Source organism: Homo sapiens, chromosome 6, assembly GCF_000001405.40.
Source record: "Homo sapiens chromosome 6, GRCh38.p14 Primary Assembly".
Classification (NCBI taxonomy): Eukaryota; Metazoa; Chordata; class Mammalia; order Primates; family Hominidae; genus Homo; species Homo sapiens.
Window position 1 is genome coordinate 12,068,442 of NC_000006.12, and position 25,496 is coordinate 12,093,937.

Consider the following 25,496-nt stretch of genomic DNA (forward strand, 5'->3'; position numbering starts at 1 on the left):
GGGTAAAGAATCATGTTTTGTAATACTTATAATAGTATTATTGTCAGTTAGATGATGTTAAAATATTCTTAATTTGGAAGGAGGAAACAGGCATCAAATAAATTGGAAGTATGGAATAATGTATTGAGTTTAAGGGAGAATACTTAAGAATCTGACAGTATGCGTATATATTCATATATGTGCACACGTATTTGTGAAGATATATGTGTAAATCGTCACACATATATGTAATATGTGTATTAAGCATATAAGCAAGCAGGCACTTATATACTTTCAGGGAATTGAGACACCCAAGTTTGTTTTTTATTTGGCTGTCCATATTTACACATATGTTCATATATATTATACATACCTGTGTATTTAAATGAGTAAATAATATATCTTTAATATGAGTAATACATGAACTTAAATCAACTAATACAGAAGCATATACAATAAAAAATTGGTGTTTTCTCCCTTTACTTGCCTCTGCTCTTTATCCTTATTATCAGCCTTACCAATTTCTTGTCACTTTCCCCAGAAATGCAGCTATGATAATATTATTCTTTAAAACATGTGTGCACATACACAAAAATTGACTTATGTAATGTACAAAGTCATTAATCATTTAACAATGGGATACATTCTGAGAAATGTGTCGTTAGGTGATTTCCTCATTGGTCATTGTGCAAACACCATGGGGTGTACTTACACAAACCTAGATGGTACAGCCAACTACACACGTAGCCTATATGGTATAGCCTATCGCTCCTAGGTTACAAACCTGCACAGCATGTTCATTTACTGAATACTGTAGGCAATTACAGCACAGTGGTATTTGTGTATCTAAACAGAAAAGGTATAGTATAAAAGATAAAAAATTCATACAACCTGTATAGGACACTTACCATGAATAGAGCTTGAAGGACTGGAAGTTTCTCTGGGTTGAGTCAGTGAGTGGGTGGTGAGTGGATGGGGAGGCCTAGGACATTACTGCACGCTACTGTAGACTTTATAAATGCTGTATACTTAGGATATACTCAATTTTTTAAAAAATTGTGTTAGTACGCATATTCTCACTCATAGGTGGGAATTGAACGATGAGAACATATGGACACAGGAAGGGGAACATCACACTCTGGGGACTGTTCTGGGGTGGGGGGAGGGGGGAGGGATAGCATTGGGAGATATACCTAATGCTAGATGACGAGTTAGTGGGTGCAGCGCACCAGCATGGCAAATGTATACATATGTAACTAACCTGCACATTGTGCACATGTACCCTAAAACTTAAAGTATAATAATAATAAATAAATAAATAAAAAGAAAAAAATTGTGTTAGTAATAAATTAACTGTAGCTTACTGTAACTTTATAACCTTTTAATTTTTAACTTTTTGACTCTTCTATGATAACATCTAGCTTAAAGCAAACACATCGTATAGCTGTACAAAAATATTTTTTATATTCTTATTCTATAAGTTTTTTTCTATTTTTAGAATTATTATTTTTTACTTTTTTAACTTTGTTATTAAGAACTAAGACACACACACACACATTAGCCTAGCCCTGCACAGACTCAGGCTCATCAGTATCATTGTCTTCCATCTCTACATCTTGTCCCACGGAAGGTCTTCAGGGGCAGTGACACATATGGAGCTGTCATTTCCCATGAGAACAGTGCTTCTTCTGGAATCCCTCCTGAAGGATCTGCCTGAGGCTATTTTACTATTAACTTTTTTTAAAAATGAGTAGAAGGAGTACAGTCTAAAATGACAATAAAGTATAGTAAATACATAAACCAGTCATATAGTCATTTACTATCATTATCAAGCATTATGTATTGTACATAATTGCATGTTCTGTATTTGTATATGACTGGCAGTGCAGTGGGTTTGTTTACACCAGCATCACCACAAATACGTGATGACTGTGTTGCATTATGATGTAGAAAGCCCAAATATCACTAGGCAATATGGATTTTTCGGCCGGGTGCGGTGGCTCATGCCTGTAATCTCAGCACTTTGGGAGGCCGAGGCGGGTAGATCACTTGGGGTTAGGAGTTCGAGACCAGTGCGTGGCCAACATGGTGCAACCCTGCCTCTACTAAAAAGAATTTTTCAACTCCTTTATAATCTTGTGAGACTACCATCGTACATTTAGTCTGTTGTTAACTGAAATGTCATTATGGAATGCTTGACTGGATACTAATATGAAAGTCTATTATTTAAAAAATTTAGGATTCTCATACTCTAAAAAGTCACTATCCATATTTCTACAGTTTGAACTTAAATTGAAAGTTAAAGCTCTACCAGTAGGAAAACACCAGCTAGTGACCTGACCATTTATAAAATTTGGCTCCACTCAACCGCCTCCATGATTTTAGGTTACCGTTTATTTCCCATCCATCTGATCAGTATCTTTATCAGTTTCTTGCTGATTTTTAATTTTCTCACTCATAGTAATTTTATTTACATAGTATGCATTTGAAATAGAATGAGAACAAAGCACTCCCAATTTTCTCTAGTGACCAAACATGATAAAACACAAACCAGGATCTATTAAAGTAAATGAGAACTCGAGACTCTGAATTACAAATCAGAATCAGTAGGTCCTGACTTCATCAGTCTATAGTGTTCTGTTCCAGCATTCTTTTGAAGCATCTCTCTTGGAATAAGCCCCCACCCCTTAGTCTCATGTTCCAAATTCATTGTTATGTGTACACATTGACTTCTCATCCCTAATAGACCATTTCTGTTTCTTCATTTGTTCATGTAGTAGTTAACCTGTTGATTCCAGACACTTCCCTCGGTTATGTGTGTAAATTGTGCAAGCCACTGGATGTGCAGTGCTGAAAGTGGGTCACCTCCTTGATAGTGGGGGGCTGGCATTGCCATACCTCCTGCCCCCCAGCCAGAGCCCTCTGTGCCTTGTGAGAGACTCTGATCGCTCTCCTGATATACTAACTCTTCACCACTCTCCTCTCACCTTGTGTATTTACTTTCTGACTCACACCATTGTTCCCCAAATATTGTCTTCCTTTTCCTATTTATACCCTTCTTCATGTTCTTTCCTCAAAGAAGTGTTTCCTGTCAACCCTCACAGTTTGCCAGTATTCAACAGGTTGAAAGAGAACAAATTATTAATTTTTTAAGAAGCACTTTAAACAGAAGGTGCTTTCAGTTTTTCAAAAGATTTTCATAGCTGATAACATACTTGCTATTTGCTGTGTATGTTAGAAAATAGATTGGGAGCAAACCATCTATTTTATTTCAGTTTTGTGTTATTAAAAAATAATCATTTCAGCCTAGTGTTTTAAGGCTTTTCAGAAATAATGTGAAATAATTTAATATTACTAAGATTTAGGGTTGTATGAGTTCATATTTATGGGATGGCCTTGGGCTTGAGGGCATTTTTAGATGAGTTAATTTTTTGTAATCTGTTTTATTTATACATATACTGTAAATGCTTTAATTCATTGTTATTTTTGCTTTAAACAATTATCTTTTGAAGAACTAAAGAAAAAGATATAGTCTTACATTTGCCTCTGTCTTTTTCTTCTTATAAATTGGGATTTGGCAACCTTTTTTTGTAAGGCACAAGATAGTAAATATTACAGATTTTGTGGACCTCATAGTCTGCAGTCTTTGTCACATATTCTTCTTCTTTTTTTTTTTTTATTAAATAAATAATGCATGGGCACTACAGAAACAGCGATAGGCTGAAGTTGGCCTGTGGACCATGGTGCTCTGTCCCCTGCTATGGTGCTTATTTCCATCTGTTGTCATTTTCCATCAGCCTGAATCAGCCCCTTTTAGCATTGCTTATAATATTGGCAAGAAATTGTCTCAACTTTTTTCTAAAAATATCATCACTTTGCTTTACTTTCAAAGGGTAATTTGGCTAGATATAGAATTCTAGTTAGACATTTTTAAATCCTGTTGCCTCGCTGCTTCTCCCTCCCCTTCCCCTCTCCCACTTCGTGCCCCTCCCTTTCCTCATCTCTATTCCTGTTTTAATCTGCTGGTTTGCTGTGATAGGTCTATGTGTAGTATCCTTTAGAGTCATCTTCCCTGGGTTCACCGAGCCTCCTGGATCTGCAGGCTGATATTTTCAGTCAAGTTTGGGGAATATTCTTCTATTCCCTTTTTCCAGCTCTCTCTTCTGGAGCTTTCGTTGCATCTGTGTTAGATTACATGATATGATTCCACAGTTTGTTCATTTTTTTCAGGCTTTTCTCTGTATGCGTTGGTTGGATAATTTTTGTTGACTTGTCTTCAAGTTCGTGACTCCTTTCCTAACGGCAGTGCCCTGTCTGCTGTTATTCTCATCCAGTGAATTTTTATTTCAGCTATTGTACTTTTCTGTTCTAGTATTTCCATTCTTTTTAGAGTTTCTATATCTCTTCTGAAATCTTCTACTCTTCATTCATTCTTTACCCATCTTTTTTCTGTAAATTATTTCCTATATATTATAGTTATTTTACATCCCTTGTCTGCTGATTCCAACATCTTTGTCTTGTGTAGTTCTTATTCTTTTTACTGCTTTCTCTGTGTGTCACATTTTTGTGATTTGCGTGCCTAATAATTTTTAATCACATAGAGAACAATGTGGATATGTTTTAGAGGCTCTCTATTGTCATCTGCATCTGAAGATTATCATGTGTTTTCTAGCAGGCAGTTAAATTACTATCAGATTATTTCATAGACTGGTGGAGGCTTGCTTTGAGGCCTTTTAGAGTAGGTCTGTTGAGTTGCCCGTAGTCTGAAGTTTCAGTGGAAATAGAAGATGTTTGCTTGGCTACTCTATCCCTGGCAGGACTTGAGTTCCTAGCTCCTTGTCCCCCATATTGAGTCACTGCTGATACTTTGCTCAGTTCTTCCAGTCTTCCTTTGGGTGGCTTTACTTTGGGTTCCTTGTCTTCTACACAAGCAGTTCAAAAGACAGCCAAGGATTTGAGGGTTTGTTATTAGATTCTAGACTCCCTCCTCTGAGTCTCCCTCTTTTCTGGGATTTCCGCTCACTGTACCTACCTCCTCCCAATTTCCAGCTGCCCCAGACCCCATCTCTGTGTCCTCCAGCTCAGTAATACTGCTTCCTGCCTCACTGTTCCTAGGGGACTGGCCGTTGCCCTGGGGGAAAGACCATTTAAATGTGGCCTCACCTCCTTCGCATCTCAGCCTTTAAGGGTCAACACATCTAGTTTCTGCCAGCTCTTGGTCACTCTCCAGCACTTTCATTAAAAATATATATTTTCTCTACATTTTTATTGTTATTAGAAGGAGGGTTAGTCTCATATAGGCTATTCTGCCATTACCAGAAGCCTGAGTCCTAAGTGAGTAGATATTAAAATCTTGGGGAACCTTTGCCATCCAGATTTTCATCATGTTAAAGGATTAAGACACTCTGGGAAGCCTCCTGAGCTGGCAGGCGGAAAAATAAGATGGTGCTGGGATCCTTTTGGTTGGTGAATTTGAGTGCCCCCGGTTGGCTGGCAGGGTTTGTGGGTGAGCTGGTGAGAGGTCCCTGCACCACACACTCCCCACCTCACTACTGCTGGGAACAAAAGTAGATTGATTGGAGTGGGTGTGCACCATGAGAGCTGTACATCACTGTTCTTTCTTCCTTGTGCATTTGTAGAAATTGCATTGTTTACTGTATGTTATAGGTACTTATGCATGAAAACATTTTATTTGATTAAAATATTTTCATCTCCACTAAAGCTTAGGTTCTAAAATGGGGGATACTGCCTTACTCAAAAGTTGGCACATGGCCGATTCTAAAGATGATGTGAGTGTCCTATGCCAAGCACAATGCCTGATGCACCGATACCAGTGATTTTTTCTTTCCTGTCTACTCTCTTCCACTCTATGATAGTTGTTAAAAATAATTGGATTGGGAAATTAAGAAAAGGAAAGATTATATACCTACTTTTTAAACTTATTTTTCCGTATGGCAAAATAAGAATAGTGTGTACTAGTAAGAGCTATATTACTATATTATTTGGGGAGAAATTTAACAACTGAAAAAAATGAAAATGAGCAGAAAAGTTAGTGTTCAATAGCACCATAAAAATGTATCTTTGAATCCTCATTCACAGTGCAAGAATAATGATAGTGTAGTGTAGGTCTGTAGCAGGGGTTCTTGACATGGATTTAGGGGTCTCCATAGATCGCTGCAGTCCTTAATTGTATGAAAAAGTGTGTGTGTGTGTGTGTGTGTGTGCGCGCGCGTGCATGTCCTTGTCTCTCTTTCTGAGAGAGGCTGTACGCTGGTCATGAGATTTTTTTTTTTATAGAGATCTTTTGAAGTTTTATTCTTTTTAAAAAATTATCACTTTTTTAATAGAAAAAGTGATGGATCAGTATTGGAGTAGGATTATGAAGATGTAATTTATAAAGATAGAAAGAATGTATCCATGTTTTCTTATGTCTTTTCATGTTTGATAGTATGTATGTATACATACACAAACATGAAAAATAACCTGGAAACTAATGTGGTAATATGTTAACAGTGGCAAATTGGGATAGTTGAAATACTTTCTTCTTGTATTAGATATCGTTTAAATTTCAAAAACCAAAGTTAAATCTCACAAGTTAATTAGTTCAAACAGAAAAGACAGTAAAAAAAGTACAGTGAAACCTGTGTCTTTCTCACACCGCCCCTTTCCTCAGGGCTGACTGCAGCAGTGACTTGTGTATCCTTTCATGCACACGCACAGGCACGTAGACACGTGCATGACACAGATGGAAGTGTACCATGTACATTGCTCTGCTCCTTGGGTTTGGCGTTTTAGATTTTGTATCTTGAAGGCTTTCCAATTTTCAGATTCTTAAAGGGGAGGTCTTTGACCCTATCTCCCAATCCCCTCGAAAGGAATGAAGAACTTTGGATGTCTAGAAATTGTTTTCTATTCTGTTATCCTTTTCAGCTTTGGTGTGTGCAAACCTGACTCCTAGTGGTAGTTCAGAAATTATTTCCTTTCCTTTGGGCTCAGATGATTTTTAGGGGCAGTGACCTTTTGAATGCCCACTCTGCGCTGGCCTTTAGCTGCTTCACCTCACTCGTCTTGCACTGTCACATGTCATTTCTTGTTTATTATTACTAACACTACAACAACACGTGTTGAGTTTGGTAATCTTTCAGTTTTTAAAAAATTTCAGATTGGGCCTTTTTTTTTTTTCTAAACTTCATTATGGAAGTTTTAAAATGATTACAAAATAGAATAGTGTAATAAGCCTCCATTTACCTATCGTTCAGCTTCAGTAACTAACAGCTGGTAGCCAGTCTGGTTGCATTTACTACTCTGGCTACTTCCACCCTCCCACATTGCTTTAAAGCTAACCTTGGGGATATCATCTCATTCCTATGTTTTCATTATATAAGCTCCAAACGATAAGGGATATCTTTTCATGTCATCACAATACCTTTGTGAAACAAACAAAAATAAAGAAGAGTAATTTCCTTAATAATATGGTCAAATATCCTGTCAGTATTTGAATTTCCAGTTGTCCCCAGTAGTGTAATTTTTTAAACATTTCGTTAGAATGAGGGCAAATAAGCTCCACCTGTTTTATAAGTTGATGTATCTTTTGTATTCTTTTGATCTGTGGGTACCCTTTCCAATTCTCTTCTTGCTTTTTTTGCAGGTTATTTTTGAAAGGAACTGAGTTGTTTGTCTTATAGCTTTTTTACCATTGGTCTTTGTTTTTTCAAACAGTCAAATATAGAAATATGCTTCATTAAAGAATATTAACTGATTGCTTTTAAGTTTTTAGATATTCTTTCAATATCAGATTATATTTGAATATACATTTGTTGCCTAACATATCTCTGTTTATGGCTTTGACTTGTATGGGTTACTAATTAAGCACATGTTTATTGATTTGAAGTAGGGTATACTTTTTGAAATAAAAACTCACAAGAAAAAATAGTTCAAAATCAGATAAAATTACTTTGAAAACATCTTAGAGAGAGAGATGCTGTTTTAGTCTGTTTGTGCTTGCTGTAACAAAACACCTGAGACTGGATAATTTATAAAGGAACAGAAATTTCTTTTTCACAGTTCTGGGGGCTGGGATTCCAAGATCAAGGTGGCAGCACTGGTGAGGGCCCTCTTGCTGTGTCTTCACATGGAGGAAGGCAGAAGGTTAAGAGAAGGACAAACCCTGTGTCCTCACATGGCTGAAGAGCGGAAGAGAGTAAACCCACTCCTGCAGTCCTTTTTTATATCAGCATAGGTCCATCATGAGGGTGGAGCCTTCATGACCTAAACACCGCCCAGTAGACCCTGCCTCCCATTGCTGTTGCATTGTGGATTAAGTTTCCAACACATGCATTTTGGAGGGGACAAAAACATCGAGACCACAGCAGACAGCCATATCAGTGCAACAGGTAGTGAGTGAATTTGTCTGCCAAATTTCTGATTGGGGCTGAAGGAAAGAGAATTCTTGTTTCACTTTTAATTAGAATATAGTCAGCTACTTAACGTTACATGAGAGAGGCCTTTTCAGAGTCTCTGTGATGTGAGCATAGATTACCTAGAGTAAGTTTTCCGTAGAGGTGGATCTTGCTGGAGGGATGATGTATATCAAATAGGAAGCCAGGGCCCTAAACTACAACTTACAAAGCCCCAGGAGGAGCCCAGAAACTTCTCTTACTGACAGAGTTTTCTTCCTAAGTGAATTATCTGAAGCATTGTGAACCCGAGTCATATGCAGTGAGGCCTCAATTATAACTGGATTATGTAACAAAAATTCAGTTTTAAATCTGTGGTTTGGTGCCCAGACCACATTTGCCCTTAGTAATAATGTGTCATATCAGATTAGGTTTTCAGCATAGCCTGCAAAAGGTATTTAATTTGCGATGTACCTGACTATTGTCACTGGCAATACAGAGCTCATCCTGCTAACGTCATCCCTGGTGGCGATGCCATTGTGTCCAGAGGGACGCTTTGTTCAGGGTTACATTCAAGACTCCAGGTGGGTGCTCTAGTGCCATGGGATCCTGGACAGGAGCTCTGAAGTCCTTGGCGTCCTTGTCATAAGTCATCTGCACTTGTCATCTTTCGTAGGCATGTGATGGGGAAGTGAGAGCTTCCTGAAGTAAGGAGCCTTCTCAGGGAATGTGTGAAACTTACAAGGGGAAGATGGGGCTGGAGATCCACCAGCTGAAGGTGCCAACACAGTGATGATAAGTCCGGTGTCTGGGGCTGGAAGGTCTTAAGTCTTAGCTGTTGGTTTGGTCGTTGGGTCTATAGTAGAAAACTGAAGCATCAGTATATTATTTATCTCAAATTGACATCTAATTCTGTTGAGACTTCTAGAAGAAATGTAATGGCATTCTTCCCTTTCTCATCTTCTGTGCCTCTCAGTCTCCCTCTTCTTACTCAAGAGGGGGTTGGACAGTTATTTTCACTGTTTCTTTTCTGCTACTCCCACATTTTAAATCTTCATCCTTTCCTTTTTCTCTTAGAGAGTATGGATGTGTTTGTATCTGTAGTAATTTGAGATCACAGAATGCGATGGAGTACCATCTTGAAAAGAGGCTATATCTTGCTTGCTGTTGTATTTCCCCCACAGAGAATTACCAATTCTGGAAAGGATTACAAAAGAAGAGGACATTGTTTAGGTAAGAAGATGGTGAAGAAGAATGCATATGGCAAGTTAATGGGACAGTTGTGAATAGTGACTGTAGGATTAATATCTGACAGGCAGGTCTGTTGATCTCAATACTCCTAGAGAAGGGATGTGAAAGATGCCAAGCAAAGCATTGACTCAGCTATAATAGCTAAAAAACATAGTCACTAATTGACAACTTAGCATTTAAGAACGTCTGAAAGAATAGTCTCGGTGGTCTGTGTTTCGTTTGACTTGGTCCGCATTGTCAGGCTTGGTGCTGCCCCGTCTCTGTTGCTCAGATCCTCTGCCCCAGTACCAGTAGACCAAGCTTTTCTCAGAATGTGTCTTGTTCCAACAGAACCAGAAATCTGAAATATCAGAAAGGATTTGCTCCAACACATAGTACAGTTCTCATGGTTCCTGGTCTGCAGTGAGCTAAATGCACAAGGCCCAGGAAGGGGAGCGGCTCGGATTTGGAGAGGCAGTCAGAGTTCACTACACTTAGTGGCTTAGTTTCTGTGTTTTTGCCCCAGGTAATAGCAGCACCTTGTATCTGAGTCCTCCTTAAAAAAAAAAAAAATACATACATATATATACACACACACACACACATACATATATATACATATATATACACACACTATACACACATATAAACATATATATAAACACACACACACATATATATATACTTTTAACATTTGTTATAGGGGAAAATGGATGTAATTATTTGCTGACAAGGGGTGGGGTAGTGGCCTGCCTGAAAAGCTGGAGGAGCATGCCAGTGAGTTTGTTTTGTTTTTTTTAAGTCTTTGAGATCCTGGGTCTCTCCCAACCATCCGTAAATCTGCATCCTTAGCCCCAAATTCAGGGTGTGGATGCATGTGCCCGTGTGTGTGCGTGCGTGTATGCGTGTGCATGTGTGAATCCATACTGGATTAGTAGCCCAAGTTCAGTGGACCCTGGCGTGTAGCCTCTCAGGGTGAGAATACTGTCTTGTTCTTGCTCTCCCACCATGGTTACGATGACTACCTCCTTCCATTCGCTACATCAGAAATCATCCAGTGGGAAGAGGAAACCAATGTTGTCATACTCTAATAATTATATCCATCCCACAGTGGGCAACATATTTTGTTGTGATTATTAGAAAACTATATTATTAGAAATATGTATTGGAAAGCTTATCAATTTTCAACATCTTTATAACAATAGTTTATATATTTAAATAGTTTTTGTATCTTCAAGCATTAAATTTTCAGCTGGGAAATTATGTTCTAGTTTAGGGCTGACAGTAATAATTATTAGATCTATTTTTGGTTTAATACCTATTAAAAATATAGGCTCTGGCTTTGGATTTTAGAGGTATAATTTAATTAGACATTCTTAGCCATGAAGTGCACATTGAACTTTTCCTTCCTTATCTTCCTCAGTATCCACTAACATCAGCAGCAGCTTTGATAAGGCAGACAGATGCTGCTGCTGCCCCTGGTACTTGATAAAATATTGCTTCGAAGAGCTGGCTGATAAGACTTTTCTCCCTTAACTACTTGCATTTTATACAATTTTGAATCTTGACCAGATAATATCTGTAATTTAGAGAACATTGATTTGCAAGGTTGGCCGCATGTTGGAATCACCTGGGAAACTTTTTAAAAGGCTGATTTAATTGGAGTGGGGTGCAGCCTGAGTATCAAGATTTTTAAATGACTAATATTAGGTGAATCAAATATGCAGCAATTATTTAACAACTCTGTAATAGAAATTAATACAACAAATTTGATTCTTGTCCATGGAAATGCAAATTGTGCCTGGTGAAGATGCAATTGATTATTGCCCTGTGGATGTTGATTATTTTCACATAATTAAGCAAATTTATTTTGACATTCCTGATGGCATCTATCTATCTATCTATCTATCTATCTATCTATCTATCTATCTATATCTGGTCTTTGAATTCTCCTTTGAATGAGTTATAGTGTCTTGCTGTTTTATTAATAAATGAGTTAAATCTTTAAAAATATGCAGCAAAAGTTGGGTTTTACTGTTTTAGGGGATGTAGAAAGGGTCATCAAAGCAGGAGCTAAAAGAGTGGCACTAAGAGAATCATCCTTGGGCTAAGTTGATTTGACACCTGTCTAAAGAAGGTGCTTTTGGACTTTTAGCTCGGCCCCTCACCTGGGCTCCTGTGGGCTCTGAAATAGTGTGAGGTTTTCGGAAGGAGACTTTGGGAGTTTGCTTTTATTTTTACTTCTTAGGGAATGTGTGCTCAACCATAAAAGACAGTGGTCTTCCTAGCATCTTCTATGGGTAAAAACATATTTAGTATAAGGGGGAACTTCTTTCCCCCACTATTAAAAGTGCAGTTTAAGGGTGGTGGTCTCACAAGGCTGCCAAATGAAACCAGGTGATTGATATATACTGTATGTATAAATAATTAGATATGTTAAGAGACAAAATAATGTAAAATCCTTAGAAGGCTCAGTGTAACACATTTGTTGTGTGTCTGTGTACATTTTGTTATTTTCATGGTCTGTTTTGATATCAAGATGGTTTTCATAAAGAAGAAACAACATTTAGTTGATCTATGATCTTAAAGTACAGTGGACCTCATATCTACTTTTCTCTTTGAACTTTTAAAAGTTTTTTTCTGTATCACAATGGAAACATGCTTTCTGAAAAGGATAAGTGAAGAGTTTTGCAAAGGGCAGACCATAAAAGTGTAGCAAGATGAGGCATTTCACATTTTAAATTTTATTATAGAATGTTTTGTTCCTAATCACCTTTGCTATTCCACAGCTCATTATCACACTAGGGTAGACATTGTTCATGTCCATTTAACTTTTATCTCTACTCTACTTTGTCCATAACCACTCTGGATCTTCTAAAAACCCTTGAACCATTACCTATAAATTAATTAAAACCTGCAGCTCCCTCTATCTCTGGGCGCTCTGACTTCCAGCTCCCCCCTCCTATTCAGCCATCTGCTCTTGGTACCTGTGTCACTCTTCACACTGCCTTTCTAGCCTCTATCCATCCTGTATATTTGGTCCATCAGATGAACTCCTCTCTAGCACCTTCATCTCACTGAATTTTCTGTCTTTCCTCCTGGAAATATCCAAACGTGGCATCCCTTCTCCACTTCTTCATCCGAGTTGCCAAGCTTTGTAAGAGTAGATGAAACCGCTGTGCAGATTGGAGACACCAAAAATGCATGGATTTCCACATTCACAGATTGCCTAGTTCCTGTTCAGCAGTGCTTTTGTCCTCACACTTGGTTGGCTCCTGCGTTCCCATCAGTCACTTTGCCATGTTTTTACTAGTCTCTGTAGCCCCTTACACACTCACTAAACTCCTTTTTCTTTGTAGACAGCGATGTCTCTTACCTCAATACAGTGGAGGCAGTTGGATATGAATTGCCTTAAATTCATCCTTTCCACTAGCAGACTTTTCCTTTCACCTAACATTCCTTCTGTCCTCTTTTCCTTCCCTCTGGCCTCAGAGAACAGCCTCGAGTCTTCCCCAGTTTTAAACCAATGCTCGGCCTGGACTCTTGATGCCCTGCTCTGCTTTCTCCAAAACCTTGCCGCTCCACACCTCTTATTCTTCTTGTATTTTCACTCTTCTTTTATTGGCTCCTCCCACTGGGCCTATGAACATCTTGGAAGAACAAAACAAATCAAATAGTCAAAACTGTTTTCCTTTGACCCTGTGTTTCTCTATCCCCTGCTCCTTCGCAGTTCACTCTCATTTTAAGCTCAGGAGTTTGTAAGACAGTTCCACTTTGCTTTCTTCTCTCCCCTCTCTCCTCTGTCCTGTCCCATAACTTCCTCAGCCCACTTCCCTCCAGGCTTCCCCATACCCTGCATGCTTCGGGAAACACCACCAGTGGCCTCTTAATCACTGCATTCATAGGAAGCTTTTTCAGTCCTTACCTTTTGCATCCTCTACTGATTTTGACATTGAAATGCTGTTCTCTTGACTTCTGTGGCCAAAATACTTTCTGTTCTCCTTTTTTAACCATTCCTTTTTTACCTCTTTTTTTTGTGTGTTTCTTTTCCTCTACTTGCTCCTTAAAATTTGGAACTACTTCCCATTCTGCCTTAAATGGAGAGTAATTAACCCAACAGAACCACTTGTCAAAGCTTAAAAGAATGTATACAGTCTGGGGTGTCATTCCTGGAGTATCTGATTCAGTATGTCCTTCTAGAAACCTACAGTATCATGGCTCTGTAATATTCTGTCATATGCAGGTACCATAAATTATTTAACCATTTCTTAAATATTCATTCATTCAACAGATATTCATTGAGCACCTTCAAATCCCAGGTGCTACTGATTATTCAGTTTTTGTCTGTCATGAAAAGCACTCTGATAGGTAGCATTTGTTTCACTTCTTTCATAGTCTCAGGATAGACCGGATTACTCTATTAAAAGATAGGGTTTTCTAAGATCTTGATACCCGCGGTCAAATTTTTTCATAGAAAGCCCTATTTTTGCTTCTACCAACTCTAGGCTATGGTTTTAACTGCCAGTTATGTAAGAAAGTGGCTCCTGAACTCTTTACCACTAGACTCTGCTCTCTCTAGATTCATGTATCCAAACTGCTTTGAGTTCTCAATGAACTTGCCTCTTTGCCTTTCCAAACCCTAATGCCCCTCTACCTGAATGCCCTTGACTCTTTGGATATAGTCACTGCATTACTGCATGCCTAGGAATTGCTTATTTATTTCCCTAAGTTCCTGCATGCAGGGTTGTTCATCTTCGAGTATCCTTAGTGCCGGCACACAGGAGCTAATGAATACATGCTGAGCCAAATGGACTATGTGTGTAAATGTTTCCATGTTTTAGGAATTATTCTGTAGTTTTCTGTATGATTGGAACTTCGCAATTTGGAATCTATAGCCAACATTTTTTAAAAGATAATTGAGCACATTGTTAGCTTTTATTGGATTTAAATTACACAGTTTATATTAAGATATGTATTCATTATAGGTACTTTAGTAATTGGAGAAAATATAAATGGTAAAATGAAAACTGCCTGTTAATGCACTACCTTCAGATACCCAGTTGGCCTTCTTCATAGACATATGAGTGTATATGTCTGTCAAGTGTGTGTGTGTGTTTCTGTACATTTCTACACATTCATCTTCATGGCGCAAAATGTTTAGAATTATGTCTTTTTAATATAATATATGTTGAGCATTTTCCATCAATAAATATTTTGTAAAAAATACATTTAATGGCTAAACAACATTCTCTTGTATAGAAATATTTAAGTATTTGTTTAACCAGCTCCATATTGTTTTGTATATAGAATTCCTGCCAAGTTATTATTAACAAAAATGCTGGAGTAATATCGCAATAGCAGTTCATTTATTAGACAACTGTGTGTCAAGGGTCTAGTGACCCTGGCAACTATGTGCTCTGTGGAGTAAGATACAGTTTGATGTGGAAAGCAAGCAAACAGACTCTCAGAATATGCTGTGAGGACCGCTGCTGCTCTAGGGTTAGGAAAAGAATGCCAGGGACACAGAGGAGTTTGAGGGAGATGTCAGGGAAGGCTGCCTACCAGAGCTGCAGGGGAACAGACAACATGGTTATTGACTGATTTCTTTGCTCAGGATATTTGTTAGGATAACACTTGGTTAGTATGATGAAGAATATCCTTTTCTATGTAATATTGAGGGTTTTTTGAAACATTAAAGATAGATACGATTTAATCAAGTACATTTGGGACATTATTTAACTTATCTTTACTCTCCTTCCTTGACCTGTTGCTGTGAAAAATTATAATATGTTGCTTCTGAATATTGAAATAGCTTTGCTTCCTATTTTCTGTGAATGTGCTTCTTGATATAGATTGTTAAAGCTGTGTTCATGTGTGGTGTTGGTTTTTCTGCCCCTGTGGCTGGGTTTGGTATCTGAGGCATGCCAGCTGTATGAAATACTGTAGAATGCCTTCTGTGTTATCCTGGGCTCTGGAGCAGTTTAGGACATGCTTTATTCTTTAAAATTTGAAAGAAGTTGATAATAAGGTTCCAGGCCCAGTGAGTTTTTTTAAAAAGCAAATTCAGTGTAATGCTATGGCAACTCTCTCAGCTTTGTCAGTGCTGGTTATTCTGGTCAAGCTTTCCTCATTCTGGATCAGTTTGGGTAGTTGTGTGTTTTTCTACGATTTTACTAGTTCATCACAATTTTCAAATTCATTAGCACAGAGTTGAGTCTTTGATTTCTTTTTCACTTACTGCAGGCAGTGTTTTTGTTTGAAATATTGCTAGTCTAGACTATCATTTTCAGCATTATAACAGCGTGTCATCTTCCTCAAAGACAGGTAAGTCCAGCGGTATTTGAGATGTGAAACTCGGAGGTTAAAATGGGTTGATTGTAAAGGTGGGTTTACTCAGTTTACTTAGTAGTGAAGACTAGGAATAATCTTCACTTACAAGAGCATGTATAAATGGCTGTGTGTGCTGGATACAATTTTAATTTTATGCCATTGTCATTTATTTAGTGCTATTGAAATAACACTTACAGTTCACAGTAAGAGTAAGGTGCTTGCACTGGCATATAATGAGAGGAAGTAGGAATTATGTTTTTATTCAGTAGTAAAAATAGTACAGTTACATATGGTGATCTTTTTTCAATCAGATGGTACCTCTGTCAGTAAACAGAGGTGCCTTTTACAGTTCATTAGGATTTACTTCATAAAATGTTACCAATGTGAGTTTTGAAGGCTAAACGAAGAGGGAGGACGTACGGGTGCTAGCGCAGAGGCTATATGGTACCCAGCAGAACAGCATGAGAGAAGGATGAGCTGATAGAAGTAGGTGAGACATGACTTAAATCTCTTATAGATCTAAGGGAGCAATAGTTGACTCGAGTGCTTTCGGGGTACTGATACAGCTTCCCAAATGTTGACATAATTTATAATGTTAAAGATGATAAAATGCTAGATTCTTAAGTGAAACCACGCAGTGCCAGTTTTCAGTTTGTGTGTAGGTGCTTTTTTCTCTTTTTCTCTTCAGAATGCAGGTTCTGTGTCACAGGTTATTGTCTTGTCAGTGTTTATATGATCAGTAAACCACTCAGCTCCATCTAATTGCCATTATTACTAACGATTATGAGCTATGCAGCTCTAGAGAAACAGGGTTCTGTGCACAACGTTTACTGGTGGTACAGAGAGAGTGATGGGCTCTGGACAAGGGTGTTAGGGAAGTTTGCCCAGAGAAGCCCCATCTTGAAAGGACGCCCCACAGAGAAGGGACAGTGTGGGAGGCACCTTCAGGGAAGAGGACAAAGCAGGGGTTAAGTCCTAGGGTCTGGTTGAGCCTGGACTTCACTGTGCCTGATCTTGAAGAGAGAACAGAAGTGGCAAAGGGCAAAGAGGTAACTAGATTACAAAGAACCTCGTTAACCACACAGGGGAGTTTGAGCCTTATTTATCATCAAATTGATATTAAAATGATTTGTAAGGATACACTAAAGTAGGAGCCCCTCTGGGAGGGCCTAATACCTTTTTCCCTGTAACTGTTCACATTAGACCTGACACAGAGCAGGCATGCAATTGCAGTAAAAACACAGCATTCATTGAACCAAATCCTAACAACTTAGTGGGCTGCTCCTCCAACCTGTGATGCATTAGAGCCCAAGGCTCTTGGGGAATGAGAGGCAGGCCTCTGAGATGGTGAGGGAGACCCTCCCCACACGCACTTTAGCATAGACTGAAGAATGGTCAGAGAGCAAGGGGCTACTGTAAATCCTTATTTGAAGATTATGTAATTTCTATAAATGATTTGTTTTTAATTCAGTCTTCTTCCAGAAACCCTAAAAGAAAGATTATTATTTCTTAACGGCTCTAGGACTTTTTCCTTTTGTTCAGTGGTTTCAGATTATGTTTCACTAATAAAGAGACTTCTTTTATGATTATTTGTGAGTGTTGAAAATGAGATATTTTTGCATCATTTTCTTACACAAAATTTTTAATTTAAGGTATCACACAAGATAGTTCTTATAGCCTTTATCATTAACAGTTTCTGTGTATACATTTTTAATAGTATACATTTTTAATAGTTGTAGGACAAAAATTTAGTCTATACTATTAGTTACTTCTCTTCTAGCCTATTGCTGTTTTAGCCACTGGCCTTTCTGGATCTTAAAGATTACAGATCCATTCACGTGTTTGCTGGGATCTTTCTTCCAAGTGATGGCTCCTCCAAGTGTATTTAATGTAAAAATTGAATGAATTAAGATTACATGTTAATTTAAATACAGTAAGAACTCATTATAGTAAGAATGCATATTATGGGCTTCAGATTTACTGACGTGGTATGAGTATTCTTTTTGTTTGTATAACTATTTTTATTTTTAGGTAACAGCAACAGAGAAACTATTATTTATTTCTGAATGTATAGTTCTTTGGGAAATTGTTAACCCAGATCCCAGTGGTGGTGGGAGGGCATGATGGGGGATGTCTTAGAGTCTAACATGCCATTTTTTTCCCTTTGCTCCCCCTCCCCTAAATCAAGACTTACGGTGAGAGATGTGATTGCTGGGGAGTGTTACCCTTGGTAAAGGTTTGGCAAAAAGGATGTGTTGGAAACTGCCTCTTATATTGATGAACTTAAAGCTGTAGCTTTAGAGTCTAGCAGGCAGCCCTGAAATTAATGTAGTTGAGAAAGGGGCAGGATTTTTCATTTTTAATAGGGAATTACATGTATGCATAATATGTATGCACGTGGGATATTAGTTGAAATGTAAAACTATATTTTTTCTCTGTCACGGTGAAAAAATATAAATAACGCTTTACATATCAGTAAACTGTCTTGTATGAATCAGTTAAGAGCGTGTAGTAAATGACTACTTTCTTTGTAATTTTGGAGAGTGTCTTTAAAACACATCATATTTACCAGGAGAATTATAAAAACACACTAAATATAAACAGGAATTGTAATAAAACTTGCCCAAAGCAAAAGCTTTTATAATGGCTGTTACAAGCTAATTGGAGATTGTTTACCTATTGACGTGGAGCTATAGGTAGAAGCATTTGAGGAGGTACTTATTATATTTATTGTAGTAGCTGTCCTAAATCAGTAGTCTAAATTTATATACTGTTATTATCAAGATAAAAAGGTAACTTAGTTGAAAATTTTAAAAGCAGAGACTAGTATTTTGTAAGCAGATATAAACAAGTTATTTTTGTAAGAGTTTTGTTATGTTGAAGTGCAAACAGAAAGTGGCCAAACTTCAATTACTTAACAACAGCTATTCTGTAAGTATTTGTTAATCATGAGTTCTTGTTGCTTTAAGCCACAACTGATTCTATTAAGAAAAGTTGTTTTGATTATATAATGCAAAATTATGTGCACATAAACTATTAAGCACAGTTGTTACTACTGTGAATATATAATACATATATATTATTTATGATTCTTAAGTTTGGGTGAATTACTGGCATAGAAATAATAGTGCTTTGGTAATAAAAGTCCTTTTACATGTTTTTCAAGTACTATATGTTATGTGATTTGTTTATTATTTATAGTTTGAAAATCTGCAGGTAATTCATGTATTTCGTTTTTTAAAAGTGGGTCTTAGCCTTTTGTTACTTACACTGTGTTAATACGGATTTCATGCAAGCATTCCATATTTTTCTGTCTGAAGCAAAACTACCACTGAGCACAGGATCCAGTTTCTGCATTTAATGTGTGTTTTTTTCCAGGACTATTTCAACTTCACTCATCGTTTCATGAGCAGTAACTAAAGTTTATAAATAAGAAAAATTGTCTTATTCCAAAGATTGCCTGTACTACTCTCAAATTATATTCTGGATCTGATAATTCGCAGGAAGCAAATAAGACATTGCTGTGGGCGATACATTTATCAGGATGAAAATTTAGTTATTTTTGACTATTGTTGAGATGTAATGTCCTATATTTCAAACTAGCTTGCTTCCTTTGTTCTGTTCTCCCACTTTGCCTTGGCAAGTTGGATCAATATGCAATTGAAAGACGTTTGATCTGTAAATAGAAGGTTCTCTGAATTTCTTGGCCTTTCTGGCAAGATAGGGAGAGAGGCAGGTAGATCAGAGTTTGAAGGGCCCATGGTGTGCGGTGTCTGCCTTTTATTTATTTGGAGTAGGATACCATATTGGAGGTTACATCTTCCATGGCCAGTGAGCAGCGGTAGGGTCAGCATTGGAGACAACTTCTGAGCTGATGCGTTTATTTAAATTGTACTTACACATTTGGGATATGTAGAATGTTATATAATTATCAATATTGTCTTCAGTTCAGTACAAAATAGTACCCTGGGAATTTGTTCCTTTTGCCATTTTAATAAGTACCTAGACCAGTGTGTTAAATTTGGAATCGATTACTGCCCATGTCATGAAGTATGTATATCCTTATAAAGTTTAAATTAATTATTATTGAAATAGAGCATGCACATATTTACAAAATCCAGTTGTGCCCAGAGCCCCAGGTCAAAGAACAGCAGGAGCAAGGCACTGCTCCCAATTCTCTTAGTTATTGCTCCTGGGTTACATCTGTCTGACAAAACTGTGCACATGTGTAGCAGTTCTGCAGTGAGTTGTGTATAGTACCTCTTGAATGCAGTACTCTGTCCTCATACTTCATAGATGCTGTCAGCTCTATGCTGCCAGCAAGGGATATAGACACTTTCTGCCATGCCATATTTCAGCTCATCCTCGTCTCTGTTTTTCCATCCTTTTCTGTCTTCTGTCTTAAGTCTTAGCTTTGCTTAATCTGGTTGTTTCTAAGCTAGTAAGCATTTGTTATATCTCTAAAATCCCTATTAGGTACTTTGTATGTAAAGATAGTATTATTTTTAGATACTTTGATTAGATGACTAGACTTTTAAAGCTGTAGTTCAGTATCTAAAGTGTACTAATTATTTGCATTATGGAAACATTTATTAATTGGAAATAGTCCTTGTGACTAAGAAATGATTAAAATTATGAATTTAAAAGGGAATATATCCTTCAACAGTTTATACACATCTGTATCATAATTTATTCAACACATTTTTTACTAGGTATCTGACACTGTTTAAAAGTAGTATGTTTGCTTTACTGTACTCTTATTTGTTTAAGGTAAATTAATTTATAAATTTTTCTCTGTTTTTCTTAGACAAAATTGAAGAAGCACAAAAAGAACTTAATGGGGCAGAAGTTTCAAAAAAAGGTAAATTAAAATCAGCTTGAATGTAAACTTTATTCTTGCAATGATGCCTATACATATACCTCATAAATGTAGCCTTATGAAATAAATCAGTATAGACATATCACAAAATTAGAAATCCCCTTGAACTTATTGATACTTAAAATGTTGTGGACTTTGCTTCATGAAACATTTTAGCCACATAGCACATTCTATAACTGTTTCCCACATATTAATGTATGACTGGTAGAAGTGTGAAAGGTTATTGCAGCTCTTTTGAAAGTCCTGTTTGTGAGACTGTCCTGTAGCAATAAAAGTACCAATATAAGGAACACAGTTGGCCGTGTCCATGCATGTGTGTTCATGTGTGCATTCATGTGATGCAGTTTTCTTTTTTTTTTTGTAGCGACAAAAACCTAAGGCAACTAAAACAGCCTGAATACCAGTCAGTGGAAGAACAGTTGAATCATTTGTAGTATACTCATATTTTGGGGTATCACGCAGCTTTGAAAAAGTGTTAATTACTTTAGTTGATGGTGATAACTTATCAAATAAGAAAAATAACATTGCAATGTAGTATGTAAAATATCTTATTTTTTTGTGAAAACTAACAAAGTCAAGTGTGTATACAAGTATTTATATGTATATATATATACGCATACACACACAGAGGCTTCTGTGAGATTGGACAATGTTGGAAAGGATTTATACACAGATATGTGTTAATAGTGGGAAGAGGAGCAAGGGAAGATGACCCACTCATTTATATGCCTTTGTATTATTTCACCAGCTGCAATGGGTGTAATTTTGTATTAAAATTAAAAACTTGAAAGGAAAAAATTGGTTTTCACCATAGAAAACATAGATTATCTTTCCAAGTAATATAAAAAAATAGATGTGATGCAGAAGAGCATGTAGGGATGGTCAGGTAGTGAGGTAAATACTGTTGAAACACTATCTGTTAATGAGCAAAATTGATTATGTGCTTTTAATATTGTGGGCAAATAAAGTTCTCTTTATGACATTTGTATTCCGTGATTTATTATTTATTTTGCCTTGTATCTTCAAATTACAGCAGACTATTTTGACAGAGTAATTTAGCTAAATAGGATTCCAGTTGAAAGCCGTTTTACAAAAAATAGCTTTTAAATCTAGTTAGACTACTGAGCAGGTATCTGTAGGGGAAATAATTTCCTGCCATCCCAGTTCTCCATCCCTTAAACCAGCCTGTGAAGCCTTCAGGATGGTTTGGGGTTGGTCTTACATTTATGGGGTACTATGTAGCACCCCTCATGTCTGCCTTCTCCTCACCCCACGCTCCTTCCATGGGAGCTCTGGAAGGGCCATGTATATCTGACCCTCTAATGACATTCTTACAGAAAAACAAGCATAGAAGAGTAAAGATGTCTCCATGGCCACCTTGTCCCTTTGAAGGGTTGACTGACTTAAACGCATGAGGCATTTGAGACACTCAGGTTATAAGAGGCCATACTTTTAAAGTTTTCTTTCTCTATAGCCAGCCTTTTTTTTTTTTTTTTTTTTTTTTACATCTAGTCATGGTTTAGAGCTGCTTCTAGTAGCAAAGCAAATGTGAGCCTGTCTTCCTTTTCCTTGTTACTTCTTTGGCAAGAGTTTTCAGAACAGTGAACTAAATGCCTGATAGGAAGGAGGAAATGAAACAAAGGTTCTAGAAAGAGAAATTGGATAATGAGGTTCAGAATAATGGATTGGGCTACAGTTGGCAGGCTACACTTATTTAAGAGCTAGGATGAATACCAAGTGAGCATTGTTCTGTGCAGTTCACTGCATAGAATTACTGCTTGGCTTTCATTTTTATACAGAAATTAAAAATAAAATAGTTTTCCCTTTCAAATATAAGTAAGAAATAATATCAGTTTCTCTTTAACAACATGAAAAGTCTGAGTAACAGTGGTGTTGAGATTTTTCAAACCTTTTCTTGCTGATACCTATTTTATTTTAAAGGATATTCATTTCTTCCATCAAAGAATATACTTTAAAAATATAGACGTTCATTTTAGATTATGGTAAGTCATCTACAATAGATCTCTTTTTCATTGTTTTTCTGACGTACTTTGGGTTTTTTCACCCTGTAAGTTTAGCCACATTGCTTTTTAAAAAAATTATTTTTAAACACTGCTTGTAGTTCTAAGGCTTTGTCTCCATTAAAGGTTCTGTGGTCTTTAACTTATTTGAGGCTCTTTCTCCCTTTCTCTCTTTTTTGTAATTATTAGGACAAGTAACTAATTTATTTTCAGAAGTATCTAGCATAGTAGTAGGCTCTTAAAAGCAACTTCCTCATTAATAGATTAAAAAAGACATTTCCTCTTGTATTTTAATAATTTAAGGAGGATTAAATCTGTTTAGTGTAATATGGAAGTAAAGAAACTGACTTTGCCTATCATACACCAATAGAATAAAGAAATGCACTAAATTATGTTAATGTACTTATTTTATTCTTTTTCTCTTTTGAATGAAAATCAGATGACTTTAATTTGATTTATTTTGATTTTAATCAATTTAGGGATAGAGATAAGGATGCAACATTCACACAAGTCTCCATAAAGTCATTATGTTTTTCCTTACAGTGCTATCTCCTGATTCTTAACACACATTGTGCTTGACACTATTTTTAAAATTGTTGAGTGGGATTTAAATGAAATAGTGACTGTCACAGATGTGGTAATGGAATATGAATAAAATTAACTGGGAAGAAATAAATAGATCGATTAGGAGAGCTTTTATGGCTTTCTCAAGCTTTAATTTTAATACTCTTAAATTTTTATCATACAATGTTTGACACATATAAATTAATATATGTAGCATATTAAATTACAAAGCATAAGAATGACATGGTAATCTTTGATTCTCACACCCAATTTAAGAACGGGAATGTTGCCAGTACCATTGTATCCACCCACATGCTGATCGGCAATTCATCCCATTGTCTCTTCTGTAGAGGTTTTACTGTCCTTAGTTTTGTGTTCATCATTTCAGTCCTTTTAAAAAACAATTATGTCATATAAGTATGTACCCCCAAACAATATATTTTCTAGTTGTGCCTGAGTTTGAACTTTTAAATGAAACCATATTGTACGTAGTCTTCTGCAGCTTTTTTCACTTAACGTTGTTCCTAAGATTCACCCATGCCGTTGCACATAGCTGTTACTTTTCATTGTTGTAATATTGCACTGTATGAAATTGTTGGCCCATTCTTCTGTTGATATTTAAGTTATTTCCACCTTTTTGCTATCATAAACAATGCAGGTATGAATATTTTTATATCCTAGTGCCTATGTGTGAGTTTCTAGAGCATATATAGGGAATGTGAATGTTCAGCTCTACAAAATGATGCTATATTGTTTTCCAGAGTTTTTTTTGGGGAAACTTTTTGCATTCCCACTATCAGTGTCCAAGAATTCATTTTGTACTATCAAGTACATGGTATGTTTAGTCTTTTTTTTCCTAATTGGATAGATGTTAAATCCTCTTTTATTCTGCTTTGATTTTTGTTTCCCTGGTTACTAATGTTAAAAGAAAAACTTTAGACACAAAAAGTTTAACTGATTTTATTTAAACAAAGAATGATTCATGAATCAGGCATCATTCAGAACCAGAAGAGGTTCAGAGAGCTCTGCCGAGCAGTGTGAGCAGCAAGCTCGTACAGGCTGAACTCGCAAGCAAAGTGAGAAATCACCTGATTGGCTGCAACTAGCCACCTGCCTTGTTCAGGTAGGGTGTGATGAAGTATTTGCCTTATTTGGGCATGATCTGATCAGTTGACTTCCTGTGATTGGCTGAAAAGTAGCTATTTTTTACAAAAAATACTCTAAATTAGGTTTGTGTTTGCGCACTAAATGAGGTTGTAGTTTGTTAGGTCATAACTCGAGGTAAGGAGACAGCCTCAGGCAAATGGCCTCCTGCTTATTTAATTTAATAATGTCAAACATGTCTTCATTTGTATTCCCCCTTACTGAAATGCTTGCTATTATTATTTGTCCATTTTGTAAAAATTGAGTTATCTTTTTCTTAATATATTTTGAATAACTATTCATTTTATGTGCTTTATTTTTCAGATTTATTTTTTACTTCATTTAAAGTGCCTTCTATTCACTAAAGTGAATAGAAGCTCTTGATTTTAATACTGTCAACCTATTAATTTCTTGATTTTGTGATTCATTTTTTTGTATTTTTATTTGTCTTAAATTCTTCTCTATCACAAGGTCTTAAGTATATATATATATTTTCTATATTTTCTTCTAAAAGACTTTCACGTTTCAGATTAAAAACCCATCTGGAGTTTGTTTTTTTAAAAAAATATACCTAGTTTTTTAATGTAGTGTAAGTTAGGATTCAAGTTTCTTTTTTTTCTCAAGTGGGTAACCATTGCTAATATTGTTAAATGTCCCTGAAACATTTAGTATGTTTTCCTTTTACTGTTTCGTATTAATTTTTCATTTTTGTGTGGGTTTGCTTCTTAGCTCTCTATTCTGTTCTGTGAATTTGTTTACCCATATTTTAATATCACAGTATGTTAATTACTTACCACTTTATTGTCTTGATATATACAGTGTGCAATAACTAGTATATACTATATACAGTAGGGCAGATTCCTTGTGTTATTTGCCTTCAGGAATGTTTTCACTATTTCTAGTCCTTTGCTCATCTATTTGAATTTTAGAATCAGGTCTTTAAAAAACTTGTTG

At 36.5% G+C, this 25,496-nt stretch overlaps 1 protein-coding gene across 18 annotated transcripts in view; it reads left to right on the forward strand.

Moving 5' to 3' along the window:
• The window catches only part of HIVEP1 (HIVEP zinc finger 1), a 204,356-nt gene that overhangs the window by 60,749 nt on the left and 118,111 nt on the right, over positions 1–25,496 (forward strand). For all 18 annotated transcript variants that reach the window (XR_007059258.1, XR_007059259.1, XR_007059260.1 and 15 more), the window contains one exon: positions 20,743–20,796. Coding sequence is in view for 14 of the 18 variants with exons in the window: in XM_047418701.1 (XP_047274657.1) it covers positions 20,743–20,796 (54 nt within the window). In the remaining 4 variants the exon portion in view is untranslated. The remainder of the gene's footprint in view (positions 1–20,742; positions 20,797–25,496) is intronic.